The sequence below is a fragment of the Homo sapiens genome, chromosome 7, assembly GCF_000001405.40.
Source record: "Homo sapiens chromosome 7, GRCh38.p14 Primary Assembly".
NCBI classification, from domain to species: Eukaryota; Metazoa; Chordata; class Mammalia; order Primates; family Hominidae; genus Homo; species Homo sapiens.
Genome location: NC_000007.14, coordinates 6987929 through 7011051, shown reverse-complemented (window position 1 = coordinate 7011051; position 23123 = coordinate 6987929). Strand labels below are relative to the sequence as shown.

The 23123-nt window shown below is 43.0% G+C and overlaps 2 long non-coding RNA genes across 5 annotated transcripts in view, besides 2 other annotated features; one reads left to right on the top strand and one right to left on the bottom strand.

Moving 5' to 3' along the window:
- Positions 1-20811, bottom strand: part of LOC105375138 (uncharacterized) — a 121035-nt gene extending 100224 nt beyond the window's left edge. For all 4 annotated transcript variants that reach the window (XR_927009.3, XR_001745076.2, XR_001745075.2 and 1 more), the window contains exon 1: positions 20760-20811. This is a non-coding gene — a long non-coding RNA (uncharacterized LOC105375138). The remainder of the gene's footprint in view (positions 1-20759) is intronic.
- Positions 7864-9524, top strand: LOC124901585 (uncharacterized). Its single transcript, XR_007060204.1, has 2 exons — positions 7864-7941; positions 9217-9524. It is a non-coding gene; the product is annotated as an uncharacterized LOC124901585 (long non-coding RNA).
- Positions 8291-8929: an enhancer, noted in NCBI's record as "NANOG-H3K27ac-H3K4me1 hESC enhancer chr7:7041754-7042392 (GRCh37/hg19 assembly coordinates)". NCBI's record gives its function as "activates a minimal SCP1, AML or CMV promoter by ChIP-STARR-seq in primed H9 embryonic stem cells {active_cell/tissue: H9 hESC(primed)}" and the evidence as "EXISTENCE:reporter gene assay evidence [ECO:0000049][PMID:30033119]".
- Positions 19579-19765: a silencer, noted in NCBI's record as "fragment chr7:7030918-7031104 (GRCh37/hg19 assembly coordinates)". NCBI's record gives its function as "represses an EF-1alpha promoter that drives an FKBP-Casp9 reporter gene in an ReSE screen in K562 erythroleukemia cells {active_cell/tissue: K562}" and the evidence as "EXISTENCE:reporter gene assay evidence [ECO:0000049][PMID:32094911]".
- Positions 20812-23123: the final 2312 nt, after the last annotated feature.

Below are 23123 nucleotides of genomic sequence, written 5' to 3'. Positions count from 1 at the left end.
TCCAACAGACCTGCAGCTGAGGATCCTGACTGTTACAAGGAAAACTAACAAACAGAAAGGACATGCACACCAAAACCCCATCTCTATGTTACCATCATCAAAGACCAAAGGTAGATAAAACCACAAAGATGGGGAAAAAACAGAGCAGAAAAACTGGAAACTCTAAAAATCAGAGCACCTCTCCTCCTCCAAAGGAACACATCTCCTCACCAGCAAGAGAACAAAGCTGGATGGAGAATGACTTTGACGAGTTGAGAGAAGAAGGCTTCAGATGATCAAACTACTCCGAGCTAAAGGAGGAAGTTTGAACCCATGGCAAAGAAGTTAAAAACCTTGAAAAAAATTAGACGAATGCCTAAGTAGAATAACCAATGCAGAGAAGTCCTTAAAGGACCTGCTGGAGCTGAAAACCAAGGCACGAGAACTACGTGAAAAATGCACAAGCTTCAGTAGCCGATTCGATCAACTGGAAGAAAGGGTATCAGTGATGGAACATGAAATGAATGAAATGAAGCAAGAAGAGAAGTTTAGAGAAAAAAGAATAAAAAGAAACAAACAAGGCCTCCAAGAAATATGGGACTATGTGAAAAGACCAAATCTACATCTGATTAGTGTACCTGAAAGTGACGGGGAGAATGGAACCAAGTTGGAAAACACTCTGCAGGATATTATCCAGGAGAACTTCCCCAATCTAGCAAGGCAGGCCAACATCCAAATTCAGGAAATACAGAGAACGCCACAAAGATACTCCTCGAGAAGAGCAACTCCAAGACACATAATTGTCAGATTCACCAAAGTTGAAATGAAGGAAAAAATGTTAAGGGAAGCCAGAGAGAAAGGTTGGGTTACCCACAAAGGGAAGCCCATCAGACTAACAGCTGATCTCTTGGCAGAAAATCTGCAAGCCAGAAGAGAGTGGGGGCCAATATTCAACATTCTTAAAGAAAAGAATTTTCAATCCAGAATTTCATATCCAGCCAAACTAAGCTTCATAAGTGAAAGAGAAATAAAATGCTTTACAAAAAAGCAAATGCTGAGAGATTTTGTCACCACCAGGCCCACCTTACAAGAGCTCCTGAAGGAAGCAGTAAACATGGAAAGGAACAACTGGTACCAGCCATTGCAAAAACATGCCAAATTGTAAAGACCATCAAGGCTACGAAGAAACTGCATCAACTAATGAGCAAAATAACCAGCTAGCATCATAATGACAGGATCAAATTCACACATAACAATATTAACTTTAAATGTAAATGGGCTAAATGTTCCAATTAAAAGACACAGACTGGTAAATTGGATAAAGAGTCAAGACCCATCAGTGTGCTGTATTCAGGAAACTCATCTCACGTGCAGAGACACACATAGGCTCAAAATAAAGGGATGGAGGAAGATCTCACAAGCAAATGGAAAAAAAAAAAAAAAAAAAGGCGGGGTTGCAATCCTAGTCTCTGATAAAACAGACTTTAAACCAACAAAGATCAGAAGAGACAAAGAAGGCCATTACGTAATGGTAAATGGATTAATTCAACAAGAAGAGCTAACTATCCTAAATATATATGCACCCAATACAGGAGCACCCAGATTCATAAAGCAAGTCCTTAGAGACCTACAAAGAGACTTAGACTCCCACACAATAATAATGGGAGACTTTAACACCCCACTGTCAGCATTAGAGAGATCAACGAGACAGAAAGTTAACAAGGATATCCAGGAATTGAACTCAGCTCTGCACCAAGTGGACCTAATAGACATCTACAGAACTCTCCACCCCAAATCAACAGAATATACATTCTTCTCAGCACCACACCACACTTATTCCAAAATTGACCAGATAGTTGGAAGTAAAGCACTCCTCAGCAAATGTAAAAGAATAGAAATTATAACAAACTGCGTCTCAGACCACAGTGCAAGCAAACTAGAACTCAGGATTAAGAAACTCACTCAAAACCACTCAACTACATGGAAACTGAACAACCTGCTCCTGAATAACTACTGGGTGCATAACAAAATGAAGGCAGAAAGAAAGATGTTCTTTGAAACCAATGAGAACAAAGACACAACATACCAGAACCTCTGGGACACACTCAAAGCAGTGTGTACAGGGAAATTTATAGCACTAAATGCCCACAAGAGAAAGCAGGAAAGATCTAAAATTGACACCTTAACATCACAATTAAAAGAACTAGAGAAGCAAGAGCAAACACATTCAAAAGCTAGCAGAAGGCAAGAAATAACTAAGATCAGAGCAGAACTGAAGGAAATAGAGACACAAAAAACCCTTCAGAAAATCAATGAATCCAGGAGCAAGTTTTTTGAAAAGATCGACAAAATTGATAGACCGCTAGCAAGACTAATAAAGAAGAAAAGAGAGAATAATCAAATAGACACAATAAAAAATGATAAAGGGGATATCACCACTGATCCTACAGAAATACAAACTACCATCAGAGAATACTATAAACACCTTTATGCCAATAAACTGGAAAATCTAGAAGAAATGGATAAATTCCTGGACACATACACCCTCCCAAGACTAAACCAGGAAGAAGTTGAATCCCTGAATAGACCAATAACAGGCTCTGAAATTGAGGCAGTAATTAATAGCTTACCAACCAAAAAGAGTCCAGGACCAGATGGATTCACAGCCGAATTGTACCAGAGGTACAATGAGGAGCTGGTACCATTCCTTCTGAAACTATTCCAATCAATAGCAAAAGAAGGAATCCTCCCTAATTCATTTTATGAGGCCAGCATCATCCTGATACCAAAGCCTGTCAGAGACACAACAAAAAAAGAGAATGTTAGACCAATATTCCTGATGAATATTAATGCAAAAATCCTCAATTAAATACTGGCAAACTGAATCCAGCAGCACATCAAAAAGCTTATCTACCATGATCAAGTGGGCTTCATCCCTGCGTTGCAAGGCTGGTTCAACATACGCAAATCAATAAATGTAATCCAGTGTATAAACAGAACCAAGGACAAAAACCATATGTTTATCTCAATAGATGCAGAAAAGGCCTTTGACAAAATTCAACAACCCTTCATGCTAAAAACTCTCAATAAATTAGGTATTGATGGGACGTATCTCAAAATAATAAGAGCTATCTATGACAAACCCACAGCCAATATCATACTCAATGGGCAAAAACTGGAAGCATTCCCTTTGAAAACTGGCACAAGACAGGGATGCCCTCTCTTACCACTCCTATTCAACATAGTGTTGGAAGTTCTGGCCAGGGCAATCAGGCAGGAGAAGGAAATAAAGGGTATTCAATTAGGAAAAGAGGAAGTCAAATTGTCCCTGTTTGCAGATGACATGATTGAATATCTACAAAACCCCATCGTCTCAGCCCAAAATCTCCTTAAGCTGATAAGCAACTTCAGCAAAGTCTCAGGATACAAAATCAGTGTGCAAAAATCACAAGCATTCTTATACACCAATAACAGACAGAGAGCCAAATCATGAGTGAACTCTCATTCACAATTGCTTCAAAGAGAATAAAATACCTGGGAATCCAACTTACAAGGGACGTGAAGGACCTCTTCAAGGAGAACTACAAACCACTGCTCAATGAAATAAAAGAGGACACGAACAAATGGAAGAACATTCCATGGTCATGGGTAGGAAGAATCAATATCGTGAAAATGGCCATACTGCCCAAGGTAATTTATAGATTCAATGCCATCCCCATCAAACTGCCAATGACTTTCTTCACAGAATTGGAAAAAACTACTTTAAAGTTCATATGGAACCAAAAGAGCCTGCATTGCCAAGTCAATCCTAAGCCAAAAGAACAAAGCTGGAGGCATCATGACTTCAAACTATACTACAAGGCTACAGTAAACAAAACAGCATGGTACTGGTACCAAAACAGAGATATAGACCAATGGAACAGAACAGAGCCCTCAGAAATAATGCTGCATATCTACAACCATCTGATCTTTGACAAACCTGACAAAAACAAGAAATGGGGAAAGGATTCCCTATTTAACAAATGGTGCTGGGAAAACTGGCTAGCCATATGTAGAAAGCTGAAACTGGATCCCTTCCTTACACCTCATACAAAAATTAATTCAAGATGGATTAAAGACTTAAATGTTAGACCTGAAACCATAAAAGCCCTAGAAGAAAAGCTAGGCAATATCATTCAGGACATAGGCATGGGCAAGGACTTCATGTCTAAAAAACCAAAAGCAATGGCAACAAAAGCCAAAATTGACAAACGGGATCTAATTAAACTAAAGAGCTTCTGCACAGCAAAAGAAACTATCATCAGAGTGAACAGGCAACCTACAGAATGGGAGAAAATTTTTGCAATCTACTCATCTGACAAAAGGCTAATATCCAGAATCTACAATGAACTCAAACAAATTTACAAGAAAAAAACAAACAACCCCATCAAAAATTGGGCAAAGGATATGAACAAACACTTCTCAAAAGAAGACATTTATGCAGCCAAAAGACACATGAAAAAATGCTCATCGTCACTGGCCATCAGAGAAATGCAAATCAAAACCACAATGAGATACCATCTCACACCAGTTAGAATGGCAATCATTAAAAAGTCAGGAAACAACAGGTGCTGGAGAGGATGTGGAGAAATAGGAACACTTTTACACTGTTGGTGGGACTCTAAACTAGTTCAACCATTGTGGAAGTCAGTGTGGCGATCCCTCAGGGATCTAGAACTAGAAATACCATTTGACCCAGCCATCCCATTACTGGGTATAGACCCAAAGGATTATAAATCATGCTGCTATAAAGACACACGCACACATGTTTATTGTGGCACTATTCACAATAGCAAAGACTTGGAACCAACCTAAATGTCCAACAATGATGGACTGGATTAAGAAAATGTGGCATATATACACCATGGAATACTATGCAGCCATAAAAAATGATGAGTTCATGTCCTTTTTTGTAGGGACATGGATGAAGCTGGAAACCATCATTCTCAGCAAACTATTGCAAGGACAAAAAACCAAACACTGCCTGTTCTCACTCACAGGTGGGAATTGAACAATGAGAACACATGGACACAGGAAGGGGAACATTACACACCGGGGCCTGTTGTGGGGTGGGGGGAGAGGGGAGGGATAGCATTCGGAGATATACCTAATGTTAAATGACGAGTTAGTGGGTGCAGCACACCAACATGGCACTTGTATACATATGTTACTAACCTGCATGTCGTGCACATGTACCCTAAACTGTAAAGTATAATAATAAAAAAAAAAAAAGAACGCTTGTCCTTGGATTTAAGGCCCACCTGGATAATCCAGGGTGGTCTCATCCTGAAGTCCTCCACTTAATTACATCTGCAAAAATGCTTTTTTCCAGGTAAAGTCACATTCACAGGTTCTGGGACATGTGTATATATTTTGGGGGGCCACCATTCGACTACTACACCAACTCCTTTACATACTATGCTCAGAGATAGAAATGGACAGAGGTAGCCTCACAGAGAAACCCGAATTTCAGACTGTTATTTGCTTGCTCTGATAATTTCCTGTCAGTCTTCCTCACCTTTGTCCTGTCACCAGATGTTCTAGATCACAGCCAGATGCCGTGGGGAGATGTGTTTTTCTGTCTATGCTGGGGCCTGATGGCTGAGACATGCTTGGTCTGAAGGATTTTCTGAGGGTGGGGCTGACCCTGCCATACCCTGTGAGTTCAGCTTCTAAGCCGGTTACTTAACATTGGACAAAAATAAATCACTTTGAAAAGGTGACCCAAAATGCTCTCAATAAACAGTAGCTATGATTGTTATTTCAAGGTCTGCCACAATTGATCTGGACAGTCTGCATATAGCCTACACTTGGTGCCAGTTTCTTAAAGAAAGCATCCAGACCACAGAGGCAGCCTTGATATCTCATCACTTTTGCTCTCAGCTTTCTGCACTGCAGATATAGCAGTAAGCATCATTTGTATCTGCAGCCTCTGAAACCCTTCAGTACCTCCTAGGAAACAGTGGTCCCCATTATGGTGTTAAATACCTAGCTTTGGAATATTGGGCTGGGTGCTGTCATGATGGCCAAGTTAGGGTAAAAGTGAAATGAGTCTTCAGCTGCTGCAAGGATGTACTGATGGCTGGATTCCAGCAAGCCCTTTCCCCCTTTGGTGGGTGTTGTTTAGAGTAGTTATGACTGAGATGCGGTGGATGGGTTGGTCATATCTAACAAGCCTCAGGAATGACAAAATGATTCCCTTCTGAGGACCTTTCACTACAGCAATACAGAATGTTTTTGTTTCATCCCAGAGAGATGTTCACAACATTTTATCCAATGAGAAAACCAAATGATAGCAGACTATTTGGACTATAGCAGACTATATAGGATGATATTACATAATGCAATGCCCGGGCCCCATTATGGCATTTTCTTCTCTACTCTATTTTTCTCTATAGCACTTACCTTCATTTATATATGTAATTTATGTGCCTTGTTAACTCCCCCTCTTCCTCTGCACCATGAATGTAATAAGCTCCATGCCCCATAATGCAATAGATACTCAAAACATATTATTAGTTTAATGAAAAAATTAAACCCTAACTCTCTCTGACAATCCTAATCATAACCTCCACATGAAGGAAAAGGACTTAGTCTGGTCTCTAGCCACGAGTCTAACTTTCAGCAGCTAAAAACCCTATTCGCCTCTCCTTAATGTGTTCAAGAACAGCAACGATATCAATATGACTGGGATGTAATGAACTAGGGAGAGGGAAGTCAGAGATACAGTTGGAAGACAATGAAGGTGGATGTTTGTCAAGCTTCTGGACTAACAATTCCACTCTGATTTTCTGGGGGCCTGTTACTCCAGGGCTCCTGATTCCTATTTCCGAATCTTTCAACAGTATCTATGACTGCACAGGGTGTATCTATGTCTGGACAGGGAACAACCTGGAAATGCTTAGGGGAATTCTGTTTGAAGAAAGCTTTTGTTTATTTAACACACATTGTGTTCAGGGACCTAAGCTAGATAATCTTACATTCATCATTTTATTTAACACTGTAAAATTATACATTCCTTACCCATGAAAATGTCCAGTTCATCTGTCTCTTTCATTCCCATACTTCTCTCCCATAGCCTGCAACCAAGCCTCTAATCATCAGCTCCTGTTACTGCTCTCAACAAATTAGGTCACTTATGGCTTTACTAATTTCCCTTTCAACTTAAAATATTCAAGCTTGAATTAGCCAGTTTAGATTGGGTTATGCTGCAGTTACAAAATGACTCCCAAGTCTCAGACACTTACAACCAGAAAAGTTTGTTTGCTCACTCCAGCTACATATTGATCATGGGTAGGCTGTGACCCTTCTCTACATAATTTTCATTCTGGGCCCTTGGTTGGGGGAGTCGCTCCTACCTGGAATACTGGCAGAGGAAAAAAAGTTGGTGTTGAGCTACATCGTGGTTCTTAAAATTTCTGCTCACAAGTAACACCTGTCACTTCTACTCACATTTCACTGGCAATAGCAAGTCACCTGGCTACACTGATATCAATGGGCTAGATATAGCATAATCCTCCCCCAGGGAGGGGCACTGCATATTTTTCAGCAATAATAGAACATACCAAAAGAGCATCCCTGTGGAGGCACACTCACTGTACCTGTCCTCCCGAGCCCTCTTATCCTTCTTCCACACACACTGTGCCAAACACAGAACCTGGATCCATTTCCCCCACGTCTTGACTCTGGCTCTCAGACTGCCCCATGTTATTGGAGGCTCTGCCCTCTCTGATGGTGCCAGTCCACATTCATGCTTGGGTTTTCCTCCTTTGCTGGACCACCATGATGCCCACTCATCTTTTCTTTTTCCCCTCATTAACTCTGATATTTGTCTGTTATTTTCAAGTTCACCCTCACAACATCCCAAGCCCTTCAGTACCTGCAGAAGATGAGCCTCCTGTTTTTTATGGAAAACAGGGGCCTGTAAGTATGAATTCTTCTAAAACTTGTAAACCCTTCTCTGCATTCCTTTTCTCCTCTCTGCTCTGCTTTTCTCCACAACACTTATTTATCATCATTGACATACTTAGCTTATAAATCTTGTATGTTGGTTAAAATTAGGTGTCAACTTGATTGGATTGACAGCTGCCTAGAGTATTGTTCCTGAGTGTGTTTGTGAGGGTGTTGCCAGAGGAGACTGACATTTGAGTTGGTGGACTGGGAAGGAAGACCCACCCTCAAGGTGGGTGGGCACCAGTCAATCAGCTGCCAGAGCAGCTAGAACAAAGCAGGCGGAGGAAGGTGGGATAGGCTTGCTAGTGGAGGCTTCTGCCAGAAGCCTTTTTTTCTTCTTCCCATGCAGGAAGCTTGCTTCCATTCCTCCTGACCTTGGATGTGGGAAAAAGAAAGAGAGATCAGATTGTTAATGTGTCTGTATACAAAGTAGACATAAGAGACTCCATTTTAATCTGTAACCCTACCCCCAAACCTGTGTTCCCTGAGACATGTGCTGTGTCAACAACTCAGGGTTAAATGGATTTAGGGTTATGCAGGATGTTCTTTGTTAAACAAATGCTTGAAGGCAGCATGCCTGTTAAGAGTCATCACCACTCCCTAATCTCAAGTACCCAGGGACACAAAACACTGCGGAAGGCCACAGGGACCTCTGCCTAGGAAAGCCAGGTATTGTCCAAGGTTTCTCCCCATGTGATAGTCTGAAATATGGCCTCGTGGGAAGAGAAAGACCTGACTGTCCCCCAGCCCGACACCCGTAAAGGGTCTGTGCTGAGGAGGATTAGTAAGAGGAAGGAACGCCTCTTTGCAGTTGAGACAAGAGGAAGGCATCTGTCTCCTTCCCGTCCCTGGGCAATGGAATGTCTCGGTGTAAAACCCGATTGTATATTCCATCTACTGAGATAGGTGAAAACCACCTTAGGGCTGGAGATGGGACCTGTGGACAGCAATACTGCTCTTTAAGGCATTGAGATGTTTATGTGTATGTATCTCTGAAGCACAGCACTTAATTCTTTACCTTGTTTATGATGCTGAGACCTTTGTTCACGTGTTTACCTGCTGTCCTTCTCTCCACTATTATCCTATGACCCTGCCACATCCCCCTCTCTGAGAAACACCCAATAATGATCAATAAATACTAAGGGAACTCAGAGGCCAGTGGGATCCTCCGTGTGCTGAACGCCGGTCCCCTGGGCTCCCTTTTTCTTTCTCTATACTTTGTCTCTGTGTCTCTTTCTTTTCCAGGTCTCTCGTTTCACCTAATTAAAACACCCACAGGTGTGGAGGGGCAACCCACCCCTTCACTTGGACATCAGACTCCAGGTTCTTCTGCCTTTGGACTCTGGGACTTGCACCAGCAGCTTCCCCGAGGCTCTCAGGCCCTGAGCCTGAGACTGAAGTTTGCACTGTGGGCTTCCCTGGTTTTGAGGCTTTTGGACTTGGACTGAGCCACCACCAGCTTCTCTCTTTCCCCAGCTTGCAGACAGCCTATTGTGGGACTTTGCCTTGTAATCCTGTGAACCGATTCTCTCTAATAAACTCCCTTTTTCATATACATGTATCCAATTGATTCTGTCCCTCTGGAGAACCCTAGTACAACTAATTTTTTCTCTGCTGCCCTTTACTCTTCTAGGCTTACCTAGACTACCACCATTCCTTCCCCCTTTCCTATTCTAAAGTAAAAGTTGTTTTTTCTCGCTTAATGCATGGTATTTTGCCCATTTCCCATGGCTTCCCTCAGTCCTGCTCTTGTTTATTCTTCTTGCTATCTTAAGAGGAAATTCCTGCCTCTTCCTTGGCTTTTCCCACTTGGTCTACGTACTGGTTTCTGTTGTTCTTAGAGACACACTGAGACGTTTCACATCTCACTGCCACTTCTTGGAAGGGCTCTCTCTACCTGGTCTGCCTGCTAAGCAACCTCTTGGGGAGACACGGGCACTCCTGAGTTATCGAACTTGAGCTGTTTGGTGTTGGCATGTTAATTTATCTTCTTACACCACTTACCACTTCCTTAACGTCAAAAGATAAGAATAATTATTATTTTCCATGGTTGATGTGAAGAGTACAAATAACTTATACAAAATGCATTGCAGTTAGGAGATAATAAATGGCAGTGAATGCCCTTATTAATGTTATTCTATCAGTCTCAGCTGAGGTACCATCTGCTCTGTGAGCTCGACTCTGAATCATATCTATTTCTTCCCGGGGTTCATTGTGCTCTATTCTTAAATGCTTTAAAACAGTAATTATTCTGATTCTAATTAGTGGTCCTTCCCAGTAAAATTTGAATTTTTTAGATCTCTTTCCCCCACCCCTGCCCCAGCCTTAGCAGTATTTTCTTATGTCTTTTTTGTGTGTACAGGCTAAATCACTGGTCTTCTTTTATTTGTGGCTAAAAAAATGTTTTGCTGGAAGAGTAAAGAGTTCCCATTTCCATGAGATCTATAGTTTTACAAAATGAATATATACATAATCCATGTAACTATTTCAATTTTAAAACAATTTTTAAATTTTTAGATAAAATTTAATTTGTGCCCATGTGTATGTGTGTGAGACCAGAGATGGGAGTGGGGGGAGAATCTCACTATGTTGAGCAGGCTGGTCTTGAACTCCTGGCCTCAAGCCACCCTCTTGCCTTGGCCTCCCAAAGTGCTGGAATTACAGGCGTGAACCATGCACCCAGACTCACTTTTTGTTTTAACAGATCCTAGAGTGAGAAAGCAAGTAGCATTGTGATAGAGTAGCTGGATAGGGAGCAGTTCCTGGAATCTGAAGAAAAGGAGGTGTGGAAAGGGTCAGTTGACAGAAGCTGTGGCCTTCAGGAGACAAGCTTTGAGGTAAGAGAGCTGGGGGGCTAAATGTCCTGTGGTCTCGCCCTGTCTCCACTTGCCTTGTGATATTCTATTATCCTGTTAAGTACTTGATGTCTGTCACCCACACCTATTCGTATACTGCCTCCCCTTTTGAAACTCCCTAATAAAAACTTGCTGGTTTTTGTGGCTTGTGGGGCATCACGGATCCTACCAATGTGTGATGTCTCCCCCGGACGCCCAGCTTTAAAATTTCTCTCTTTTGTACTCTGTCCTTTTATTTCTCAAGCCAGTTGACGCTTAGGAAAGTAGAAAAGAACCTACATGATTATCGGGGCAGGTCCCCCAATAGTGTTGGGTGGTGGTAATGCAATGATGAAGATGGCAGGCATGCCTCTGCCCTCCAGGAGTTTCTAGGATACACAGGGGGACAAACAAAAAATAAGTAAATCCATGAAAGAAGTATAGGTGGAACCTGCCCCCAATATTTCAATGTAGGTTCTTTCTATTTTCTATAAGTGTCAGGCAGCTGAGAAATAAAGAGAGACACTACAAAGAAAGGAATTTTACAGCTGGGCTGCTGGGGGTGACATTACACATCAGTAGGACCATGATGCCCCCTGAGTCTCAGATGAGCAAGTTTTTATTAAGGGCTTCAAAAGGGGAGGGGGTGTAAGAATGGGGAATAGGTACAAAGGTCACATGCTTCAAATGGTACAAAGCAGAACTACTACTAAGGGTCTAACAAAGATCACGTGCTTCTGAGGGAACAGGACAAAGGGCAAAAGCAGAACTACTGAGAAGTGTCCAGCAAAGATCACAAAGCAAAGGACAAAAGCAGAACCACTGATAAGGGTCTATGTTCATTCACGCATGTATTGTCTTGATAAACATCTTAAACAACAGAAAACAGGGTTCAAGAGCAGAGAACCAGTCTGACCACAGATATATCAGGGCGGAGTTTTTCTCCACCCTAGTAAGCCTTTGGGTACTGCAGGAGACCAGGGTGTATCTCAGTCCTTATCTTAACCGCATAAGACAGACATTCCCAGAGCAGCCATTTATAGACCTTCCCCCAGGAATTCATTCCTTTCCCAGGGTATTACTATTAATATTCCTTGCTAGGAAAAGAATTTAGTGATATCTCTCCTACCTGCATATCCGTTTATAGACTCTCTGCAAGAAGAAACATATGGCTCTTTTTGCCCAACCCTGCAGGCAGTCAGACCTTATGGTTGTCTTCCTTTGTTCCCTAAAAATTGCTGTTCTCTTCTTTTTCAAGGTGCACTGATTTCATATTGTTGAAACACACATGTTTTACAATCAATTTGTACAGTTAACACAATTATCACAGTGGTCCTGCGGTGATGTACATCCTTAGCTTATGAATATAACAGAATTAAGAGACTAAAGACAGGCATAAGAAATTATAAAAGTATTATTTGGGAACTGATAAATGTCCATGAAATCTTCACCATTTATGTTCCTCTGCCATGGCTCCAGCCAGTCCCTCTCCATTTGGGGTCCCTGACTTCCCACAACAAGAAACAATAAGAGGTTAAGGTGGAGAAGAGCAGGGAAGTCCACTTTATAAAGGGGTCAGGAAAGAGCTGTCTGTGGAAGCACCATTTTAGCTGAGACCTAAAGGATGGTCTAATCTGGGGAGGTGCAGAGGAAAATCATTCCAGGCTGAAGCAGCAAGTGCAAAGGCCCTGTTGTGGAAAAAGGTTTGAAAGTCCAAGAAAACAAAAGGAGGCCATAGTGGCTGAAATAGAGTAGGCCAAGGGCAGGAGATAGGAGAGGGCTGGAGAGGTGGCAGGAACAGGCAGAAGACTCGGGGTCTCGATTTTATTCTATGTACCATGGGCAGGAAAGGCAGGGATGAGACTCAATGGACACCTTAAGATCACTGAAGCTGCCAGGTAGGAAATGGATTGCTGAGCATGGAGAGCAGGTGCAGAGTACCAGTTAAGACCAGTTAGGAGGCTGCTGCTGTAGCCCAGCTGAGATACTGGTGTCCTAGGCAAAGATAATGACAGTGAAGCTAGAGAGAGTGGACAAGTTGGATAAAGTTTAGAATCACAGGACTTGCTGACTGGAGAAGAGGGCAAAAGCAGAGTTAGCACAACACATGAGTTATGACCACCTTGAGCAGCTCAGCAGGGGGTGGTGCCATTTACAGAAGAGAGATGGCATGGACAGAGCCCATGGAGAAGGAGGAGGAAAAAGAGAGTTTGGCTTTGGGTTTTTTTTAAGACAGGGTCTCTGGCTGTGTCACCCAGGCTGGAGTGCATTGGTGCCATCATAGCTCTTTGCAGCCTCAAACTCCTGGGCTCAATTGATCCTCCTGCCTCAGCCTGCCATGTAGCAGGACTACAGATCCTACAGATGCACATCACCATGCCTAGCTTTTTGTTTTTGTTGTTTTTTTTTTTTTTTTTGTAGATAGGGAGTCTCACTGTGTTTTCCAGGCTGGCTTCAAACTCCTGGCCTCAAGTAATCCTCCCACCTCAGCCTCCCATAGCACTGGGATTACAGCCATCACCTACCACACCAAGCCATGAGTTTGGCTTTGGATGTAACAAGGTTGAGGTGTTCATGAGTTGACAAGTGGAAAAAACAAGAAAGAAGTTGAGTGTTTAAGACTGCTGTTTCAAGGAGAATTCTAGCCTCAGGACAAAAGTTCAGGACTCATCAGCTGAGAAATGGCACTGAAAATTATGTAAATGGATAAGCTCAGCTAGTAAACAAGTCCAGAGAGAGCAGAAAGTCCAGAGATAGCAGCACTGGGCTATGCACCTGGCCTAATGCCGCCCCGCTCCTCCCAATCCCTGTGTTATGCTGGAGAGGGTCCAGCCTCTGGTGAGTTTCACCAAACCCCCACATCTCTTTCTTCTGAGACCTTCTCTAAAATCCCCTCTTTTATACTTAGTGAAATGGGATGCTCTTTTTCCTATCCAGCTTAAGCAAAAACTTTTGACTATGAGAAGAATGAGGATGCATTTAGTATCTGTTCTGCATGGCTAATTCCATCAAAGATTTCTCATTATTCATGCCTGGCAGTCTCATTTTCTTCTTTTGCCTCTAAGAGCACAGTCGTAGCCTTAATTACTGAACTTTTCACTCTTCTAATACCAGCGATTTCCCCCATCTCAGTTCTCAGGAAGTTCTGTTCGCAGAATTATCTCCTGAATCCTCACCTGGAGATAGAAATTGCTCTCTGTGGCCATTTCTTCCCCCTCTAATTCTTATAAAAAAACTCAGTGATCTCTGTGCATCAAATATTAAACTGAAGCTCAACAGATCATGATTCTGGCTTGTCTCTCTCTCCAGCCTGTGGGTTAACAGGTTTGCAACATTTGCAGAGAAGACACCAAATTCTCAGGAGGGCAGAGTTTCCAAAGGTACTGGTCACTCTTGCTCTCTTTCTCCTGCTCAAAATTCAGCACTAGAGAGTGTTACACCATTGCACCTGCAGAGGAGTTCATCTGACTCTAGGGACTACAGAGGAGAGAGATGGACAAACTAACAGGCATTCAGAAAATGACTACCACAATGGGGAAGAAAATGAAAGTCAAACCAAATAAGCAATGGTCAAAAAAAAAAAAAAATCTAGAGGGCAGCTGCAGTGGCTCACACGTGTAATCCCAGCACTTTGGGAGGCTGAGGCAGCTGGATCACTTGATATCAGGAGTTCGAGACCAGCCTGGACAACAGAGTGAAATCACATCTCTACTAAAAATACAAAAATTAGCCAGGTGTGGTGGTGGGCACCTGTAATCCCAGCATTTTGGGAGGCTGAGGTGGGTGGATCACCTGATGTCAGGAGTTTGAGACCAGCCTGGCCAACATGGTGAAACCCTATTTCTATTAAAAAATACAAGAATTAGCCAGGTGTGGTGGCAGGTGCCTCTAATCCCAGCTACTTGGGAGGCTGAGGCAGTAGAATTGCTTGAACCCAGGAGGCAGAGGTTGCGGTGAGCAAAGATTGCACCACTGCACTCCAGCCTGGGCAACAGTGAGACTTTGTCTCAAAACAAACAAACAAAAAAAACAACAACAACCTAGAGATGTCCGTCCAGGCTGAAGAGAATATTCCAGAGCAGAGGTTGGGACACTATGGCCCATGGGCCAAATCTGACCTGCTTGCACATGTGTTTGTCAATAAAGTTTTACTGAAACACAGCCATGCACATTTGCTGCATATTGTCTATGGCTGCTGGATTTGGCTGTTCTCTCATGCTATAAAGAAATACCTGAGGCTGGGTAATATATAAAGAAAAGAGGTTTAATTGGCTCACAGTTTTGTAGGCTATACAGGGAGCATGACACTGACATCTGCTGAGCTTCTGTGGAGGCCTCAGGAAACTTACAATGATGGCAGAAGGTGAAGCGGGAGCAAGAGAGTAAGGAGGGAGGTGCTACACACTCGTAAACAACCCGATCTTGCCGGAACTCACTCACTATTGCAAGGACAGGACCAAAAGGATGACACTAAATCATTCATGAGAAATCCACCCCCATGATCCAATCTCTTCCCACCAGGCCCCACCTCTAACACTGGGGACAGCTTTTATCTTGGCTTTTTCACTGGCAGCCCCTTCCTCAAGGACTTAACTTGTGTAAGCTGACTCTTAGCAGATCTAAGAATGCAATTAACTGATAAGATACTGTGGGGCAAGCAATATCCGCAGTTCCCAGGAATTTGTCCGATTGATAATGCCTAAAGCCCCATGTCTATCACTTTGTAATAGTCTTAAAGCCCTTAGACCTAGAACTGTTTACTTTCCTGTAACAATTTATCCTTTTAACTTTTTTGCCTACTTTACTTCTGTAAAATTCTTTTAACTAGACCCATTTCCCCTTTCTAAACTGAAGTATAAAAGAAAATCTAGCCCCTTCTTCAGGGCCAAGAGAACTTTAAGAGTTAGCCATTTCTTGACCTCCAGCTAAATAAGCAGACTCTTAATTCATGTGAAAGTGTGGCATTTTCTCTAACTCATTCAAGTACAACATTTGGAGGCCCCAGCGAGAAACGCCACGAGGCGAGAACCGGGCTCGCTCCGGGCTCCCCCGGAAGGACGGCCGGCTTGTTGCGGGGTGCCACCTACAAAAAAATTTTCAGGTCCTCGAAAGGTGACCGTCTTCCAGAGGAGAGCGGATCGACTACCTTGTGGGTGCCCATAAAAATTCCACCTCTGAGTCCTCGACTTCTGACCCTGAGGTCAGGTAGGTCAGATTTGACTTCAGTTCTAGTAAGAGGGAAGCGGCCCTGATGAGGGTGTCCCTCTTTTGACTCTGCCTGTTTCTCTAGGACGCTAGAAGGTAGAGCCCTGGTTTTCTGTTAGGCTCCTCTGTGTCTCTTTCTAGGAGGGAAGTGGCCCTGACAGGGGCCCTCCCTTGACTCAGTCCACATCCCAGGATGCTGGAGGACTGAGTCCTGGTTTCTGGCAGACCGGTCACTCTCTCTCTCTCTTTTTGTATCTCTCATCTTTCTCTTGTTCAAGTTTCTTGAAGAATCTCCAAGAAAGAAAAAAAAAAAACTGTTATATACTCTGTGTGAATAATGAATGAATGAGGGAGGACAAGGGTTTGCGCTTGTCCTCCAGTTTGTAGCTCCACGGCGAAAGCTACGGAGTTCAAGTGGGCCCTCACCTGCGGTTCCGTGGCGACCTCATAAGGCTTAAGGCAGCATCAGGCGTACCTTGATCTGAGCCGGAAGTTTATACCGGCCTGCCAATGCTAAGAGGAGCCCAAGTCCCCTCAAGGGGAGTGGCCAGGCAGGCATCTGACTGATCCCATCACAGGAAACCCTCCCCTTGTCTGTCTAAAAAAAAAAAAAAAAAAGGAAAAACTGTCATAACTGTTTACATGCCCTAAAGTCAACTGTTTGTTTTATATTGATTGTTCTGTTCAGCGTCTATTGTCTTGTTAGTAGTTGTCAAAGTTTTGCATGTCAAGACGTTGGTATTGCCCAAGACCTCTAAGTAAAAACTTCTTCAAAGTCCTTAGTGCTGATTTTTTGTCACAGGAGGTTAAATTTCTCATCAATCTTTTAGGCTGGCCACCACAGTCCTGTCTTTTCTGCCAGAAGCAAGTCAAGTGTTGTTACAAGAACAAGTGTGAAAAATATTCGCCTGATTAAGATTTCTAGCACCAAGAAAGTTGTTAAGTATTTAGATCATCATACTCCACGTCCAAGTGATTAGACGTCCTCTAAACTAAACCAGTAATGAGTTCAAAACAGCCACCCTGCAGATTTCCTTGCTCACCTCTCTTGTCATTCTGTAACTTTTCCTGTGCCCTGAAATAGAGCACTGTGTAAAGAAATGTACGCCCGTACTGCTTTACTTCATTGAGATTCTTACTCTGTTCCTCTGTGGCTACTCTTCCATCTTAAAAATGATCCGAGTAGTCCTTTTCCACCTTGTCCCTGCCCCGTATCCCGCACATCTCGTTTTCCGGTGCCACAGCAAGTTTACCGTCTCCAGGACTTGGCTCTGCTCTCACTCCTTAAACCCTTAAGAGAAAAAGCTAAGTTTAAGCTATTTGCGTTTAAGTTATAAAGACACCAAAAGTATTTAAAGTGCAGATCTAGAAGAAGAAGAAGAACGCCTAGATCAAACTGACCCAGAAGATCTCAGGCTGGCTCTAGTCCTCCTCCCTCAGTCTTAAAGCTACAGCAATGTAGCAAGTAGTATTAGCTGTTGTAAGTTTTTCTGCTCTTTCTAGTCATATTGATTCTGTTCTTTCACTACTCCAGTCCCCCAAGAAATAAGTTTCTCTGTCCATGCTAAGTTTAATATCTATGCTCAAATCTTATTAAATTGCCTTCAAAAAAAAAAAAAAGAAACACTTCCTCCCAGCCTTGTAAAGTTAAAGCCCTCTCCAATGTATGCTGCAGAATTTTCCTCTCAGTTTCTCAGATTATAAAGTCCGCCTTAAAAAAGGCAAGCTCTAGACACTCTGCAAAATAAAATGGCCAAAGTTTAAAGTCAAGTGGCCCCCTGAAGGGTCATTGAACCTCACAATTGTTCAAGCTGTGTGGCAGGTTGTTACTGAAACTCCTAGCCACCCTGATCAGTTTCCCTACATTGATCAAGAGCTAAGTTTAGTCAGGATCCACTCTCCATGGCTCCGTTCATGCGCCATTCATAATTCTACCTCCAAGGTCCTCCTAAGCCAGACCACGTTTTCGCCTCGACCCTCAGCCGGTTCAGCTCCCCCTGTACTGCCTCCCTCTGAAGAAGAGGGGAGTCTCCCTCACCCAGTCCCACCGCCTTACTACCAACCTTCTCCCTTAAAGTTATCCCATGTCTGCTCGACGACGTCCCCTGTAGGCTCGCCACCCATTGCCTCTCAATCATGACCGTGGCAGGAAGAAGTAGCCCCTCTCCTACCACTGAGAGAGGCACAAGTCCCTCCAGGTGATGAGCGCTCAGCACCCTTCTTAGTTTATGTCCCTTTTTCTACTTCTGACTTATGTAATTCGAAAACCCATAATCCTCCCTTCTCTGAAAAGCCCCAGGCTTTGACCTCTCTGACAGAGTCTGTACTCCAGACTCACCCGCCCACCTAAGATGATTGCCGACAGCTCCTTTTAACCCTTTTCACCTCTGAAAAGAAAGAACGTATCCAAAAAGAAGCCAAAAAGTACTTCCTCACATCAGCCAACGGACCGGAAGAAGAAGCTAGAGACCCCCTTGAGGAGGTCTTTCCCTCTACCCGGCCTAACCAGCACCCAAATTCCTCAAGTAGAAAGGGAGCTTTAGGTGATTTTCACCGGTATCTCCTCGCAAGTATTAAAAGAGCCGCTCAGAAACCCATAAACTTGTCTAAGACAAGCGAAGTTGTCCAAAGGCCCGATAAGTCACCAAGAACGTTTTTAGAGCGCCTCCAGGAGGCTTATTGGATTTACATCCCTTTTGACCCGGCAGCTCCCGAAAATAGCCGTGCTCTTCATTTAGCATTTGTGGCTCTGGCAGCCCCAGATATTAAAAAGAAACTCCAAAAACTAAAAAGATTTGCTAGAATAAATATCAGTCAGCTTTTAGAAATAGCCCAAGAAGTTTTTGACAATCAAAAGTTTAAAAAACAAAAACAAGCTACACTGGCAGCTGAAAAGGCCGCTGATAAAGCATTCAAAAGACAAACAAAAATCTTAGTGGCAGCTATCCAAGAAGTACAGAATGAAATAGCCCGTTAATTTAGCATTAACTGAAGCCCCTGCTTTAGCCCTCCCTAATATCTCCATAAAAGCCAAGGAGTTGCTAAAAACGTGTTTACTCAGACTCTAAGACCCTAAAGACGCCCAGTGGCCTATTTGTCTAAGAGGCTAGATCCTGTGGCCTCTAGATGGCCAAGTTGTCTGCGAGCCGTAGCGGCTACAGCAAGCCTGGCCCAAGAAGACGATAAATTAACTCTAAGCCAAAATTTAACCCTTACAGCTCCTCACGCCATAAAGACCTTACTACGAAGTGCTTCTGGCAAATAGATGTCAAATGCTCGCATCTTGCAGTATCGAAGTTTACTGTTAGATCAGCCTCGTTTGACTTTCTCTCCCACAAAGTGTTTAAATCCAGCTACAGTACTTCCTGACTCAGACTCCACTATTCCTGCTCATGACTGTCAAGAACTGTTAGAAACTATCGAAACTGGCCGATGTGATCTTCAAGGTGTGCCCCTAGAAAAGGCAGGTACCGCCGTGTTCAGAGACAGTAGCAGCTTCCTCAAGCAGGAAGTATGAAAAGTCAGTGCAGCTGTTACCACGGAGACACATGTGTTGTAAGCTCAAGCTTTACCAGCGAACACCTCAGCCCAAAAGGCTGAATTGATAGCCCTCACTCAGGCTCTCTGATAAAGTAAGAATAAACGTATTAACATTTACACTGACAGCAAGTACGCCTTTGCTACTGTGTATGTACGTAAAGCCATCTACCAGGAAAGCAGGCTACTCACCTCAGCAGGTAGCTGTGATCCACTGCAAAGGACATCAAAAAGAAAACACACCCGTTGCCCATAGTAACCAGAAACGTGATTCAGCAGCTCAGGTCTCAGCGCGACTTTCAGTCACGCCTCTAAACTTGCTGCCCACAGTCTCCTTTCCACAGCCAGATCTGCCTGACAATCCCGTATACTCAACAACAACAACAACAAAAAAAACTGGCTTCGGATCTCAGAGCCAATAAAAATCAGGAAAGTTAGTAGATTCTTCCAGACTTTAGAATCTTCATACCCTGAACTCTTAAAGAAACTTTAATCAGTTACCTACAGTCTACCACCCATTTAAGAAGAGCAAATCTACCTTAGCTCCTCCAGAGCCATTTTAAGATCCCCCATCTTCAAAGCCTAACAGATTAAGCAGCTCTCCAGTGCACAACCTGCGCCCAAGTAAATGCCAAACAAAGTCCTAAACCCAGCCCAGGCCACTGTCTCTGAAAAAACTCACCAAGAAAAAAGTAAGAAATTGACTTTAGAGAAGTCAAACCACACCAGGCTAAGTACAAATACCTTCTAGTACTGGTAGACACCTTCTCCAGATAGACTAAGGCATTTGCTACCGAAAACGAAACCACCAACACAGTAGTTAAATTTTTACTCAATGAAATCATCCCTCAATATAGGCTGCCTGCTGCCATAAAGTCTGATAATAGACCAACCTTCACCTCGCCTATAGCTCAGTCAGTCAGTAAGGCCTTAAACATTCAACAGAAGCTCCATTGTGCCTATCAACCCCAGAGTTCCAGGCAAGTAGAACGCAAGAACCACACCCTAAAAAACACTCTTACAAAATTAATCTTAAAAAAAAGTGTAAATTAAGTAAGTCTCCTTCCTTTAGCCCTACTTAAAGTAAGGTGCACCCCTTACCAGGCTAGTTTCTCACCTTTTGAAATCATGTATAAGAAGGAACCCCCTATCTTGCCTAAGCTAAGAGATGCCAAATTAGCAGAAATATCACAAAATAATTTATTACAGTACCTATAGTCTCTCCAACAGGTACAAGATATTATCCTGCCACTTGTTCCAGGAGCCCATCCCAATCCAATTCCTGACCAAAGTCCAGCCATTCGTTCCAGCCATGAGACCTAGTGTTTGTTAAAAATTTCCAGAAAGAAAGACTCACTCCTGCTTAGAAAAGACCTCACACCGTCATCCTCACAACGCCAATGGCTCTGAAAGTAGACGGCATTCCTGCTTACATTCATCACTCCCGCATCAAAAAGGCCAACAGAGCCCAACTAAAAACATAAGTCCCCAGGCCTAAGTTAGGCCCCTTAAAACTGCACCTAAGTCAGGTGAACCCATTAGATTCATTCTTTTTATCTGCCTCACTTATTTGTTTTTGCCCTTTACGTCCTCTGTGCCTTCCTACTCCTTTCTCCTCACCTCTTTCACAACAGGACTTGTATTTGCAAACACCACTTAGAAGGCCAGTACCTCCAAGGAAGTCTCCTTTGCAGTTGACTTATTTGTACTTTTCCCAAAGCCAGCCCATACCCATGAAAAGCAACACAATCTGCCAGTCCCAGGAGCAGCAAGGGTCGACCTTTCAGCAAGATTCAGACACTCCAAGAGCCAAACTAAGTGTAGAAGCTCCAAAAGTGCAGAAAAAAGACTCCAAAATATTGACTTTTACCTCTGTCCTAGAAATCACCCTGATGCTAGCTGTCAAGATACTTATCAGTTTTCCTGTCCTGATTAGACATGTGTAACTTTAGCCACCTACTCTAAAAGATCAACCAGATCTTCAACTCTTTCCATAAGTCCTGCTTCTCATCCTAAATTATGTACTAGAAAAAATTGTAATCCTCTTACTGTAACTGTCCATGACCTTAACTCAACTCAATAGTATCATGGCATGTCATGAAGATTAAGATTTTACATCCCAGGATTTAATGTTAAGTCTATGTTCACCATCCAAAAAAACCATAGTCTCATAAAGCCCACCCAAGTCAATCAGGCCTTTAACTGATCTAAGTAACCCTATGTTCCAGAAACACCCTGACAAAGTTGATTTAACTGTTCCTCCACCATTCTTAGTCATAAAAGATACACTCCAGAAAGTGCAAGAAAATCTAGATAAGCGCCAACAAGAACAAGAAAATAACATCCGCTAGTATCAAAGCATGTTCAACTAGAACCCAGAGCTAACTATTCTAATTACTAAGTTAGCCAGACCCCCTCCCCATCCTAGTATTAAGTCTAATTTTTGGACCTTGTATATTAAATTAGTTTCTTAATTTTGTAAAACAACGCATAGCTTCTGTCAAACTTATGTATCTTAAGACTCAATATAACCCCCTTGTTATAACTGAAGAATCAACGATTTGACTCCCCAAAAACACAAGTGAGGAATGTAATGCCCAACCTTGTTTTTACTAACCCTGTTCTTAGACTCTCCCTTTCTTTTAATCACCTAGCCTTGTTTCAACCTGAACTGACTCTCCCTTAGCTAAGAGAGCCAGACAGACTCCATCTTGGCTCTTTCACTGGCAGCCCCTTCCTCAAGGACTTAACTTGTGCAAGCTGACTCCCAGCACATCCAAGAATGCAATTAACTGATAAGATACTGTGGCGAGCAATATCCGCAGTTCCCAGGAATTCGTCCAATTGATAACGCCCAAAGCCCCGCATCTGTCACCTCATAATAGTCTAAAAGCCCCTAGACCTAGAACTGTTTACTTTCCTGTAACAATTTATCCTTTTAACTTTTTTGTCTACTTCTGTAAAATTCCTACTTTTGTAAAAAATCCCCCTCCCCTTTCTAAACCAAAGTATAAAAGAAAATCTAGCCCCTTCTTCGAGGCCGAGAGAACTTTAAATGTTAGCCATTTCTTAGCCACCGGCTAAATGAACAGACTCTTAATTCGTCTCAAAGTGTGGCATTTTCTCTAACTCGTTCAACTACAACACATCCGGCAGGCACGTAATCCACTCTAAAATGCCATCCTGGGGTAGTGAAGATGATGTTGCTGGAAATATCCTTAAATAGCATGTGGATGAGTTCCCCCAGACGCATACATGTTGAGCTAAGTACTTTGCTGATGAAGGGTACAAGTTGAAGGGGTTTTGAAAGGCAGAGTGAGGTTCCTCAGAAGGCTGTTGCTACAGAAAGCCAGGAGGAGAAATTACATGGCCAGATAGAGTGGCATGACCATTGGATAAGGGCTTTTTGTTTGTTTTTGAGATGGAGTTTTACTCTTGTTGCCCAGGCTGGAGTGCAATGGCACGATCTCAGCTCACTGCAACCTACGCCTCCCAGGTTCAAGCGATTCTCCTTCCTCAGCCTCCCTAGTAGCTGGGATTACAGGCATGTGCCACCACGCCCGGCTAATTGTGTAT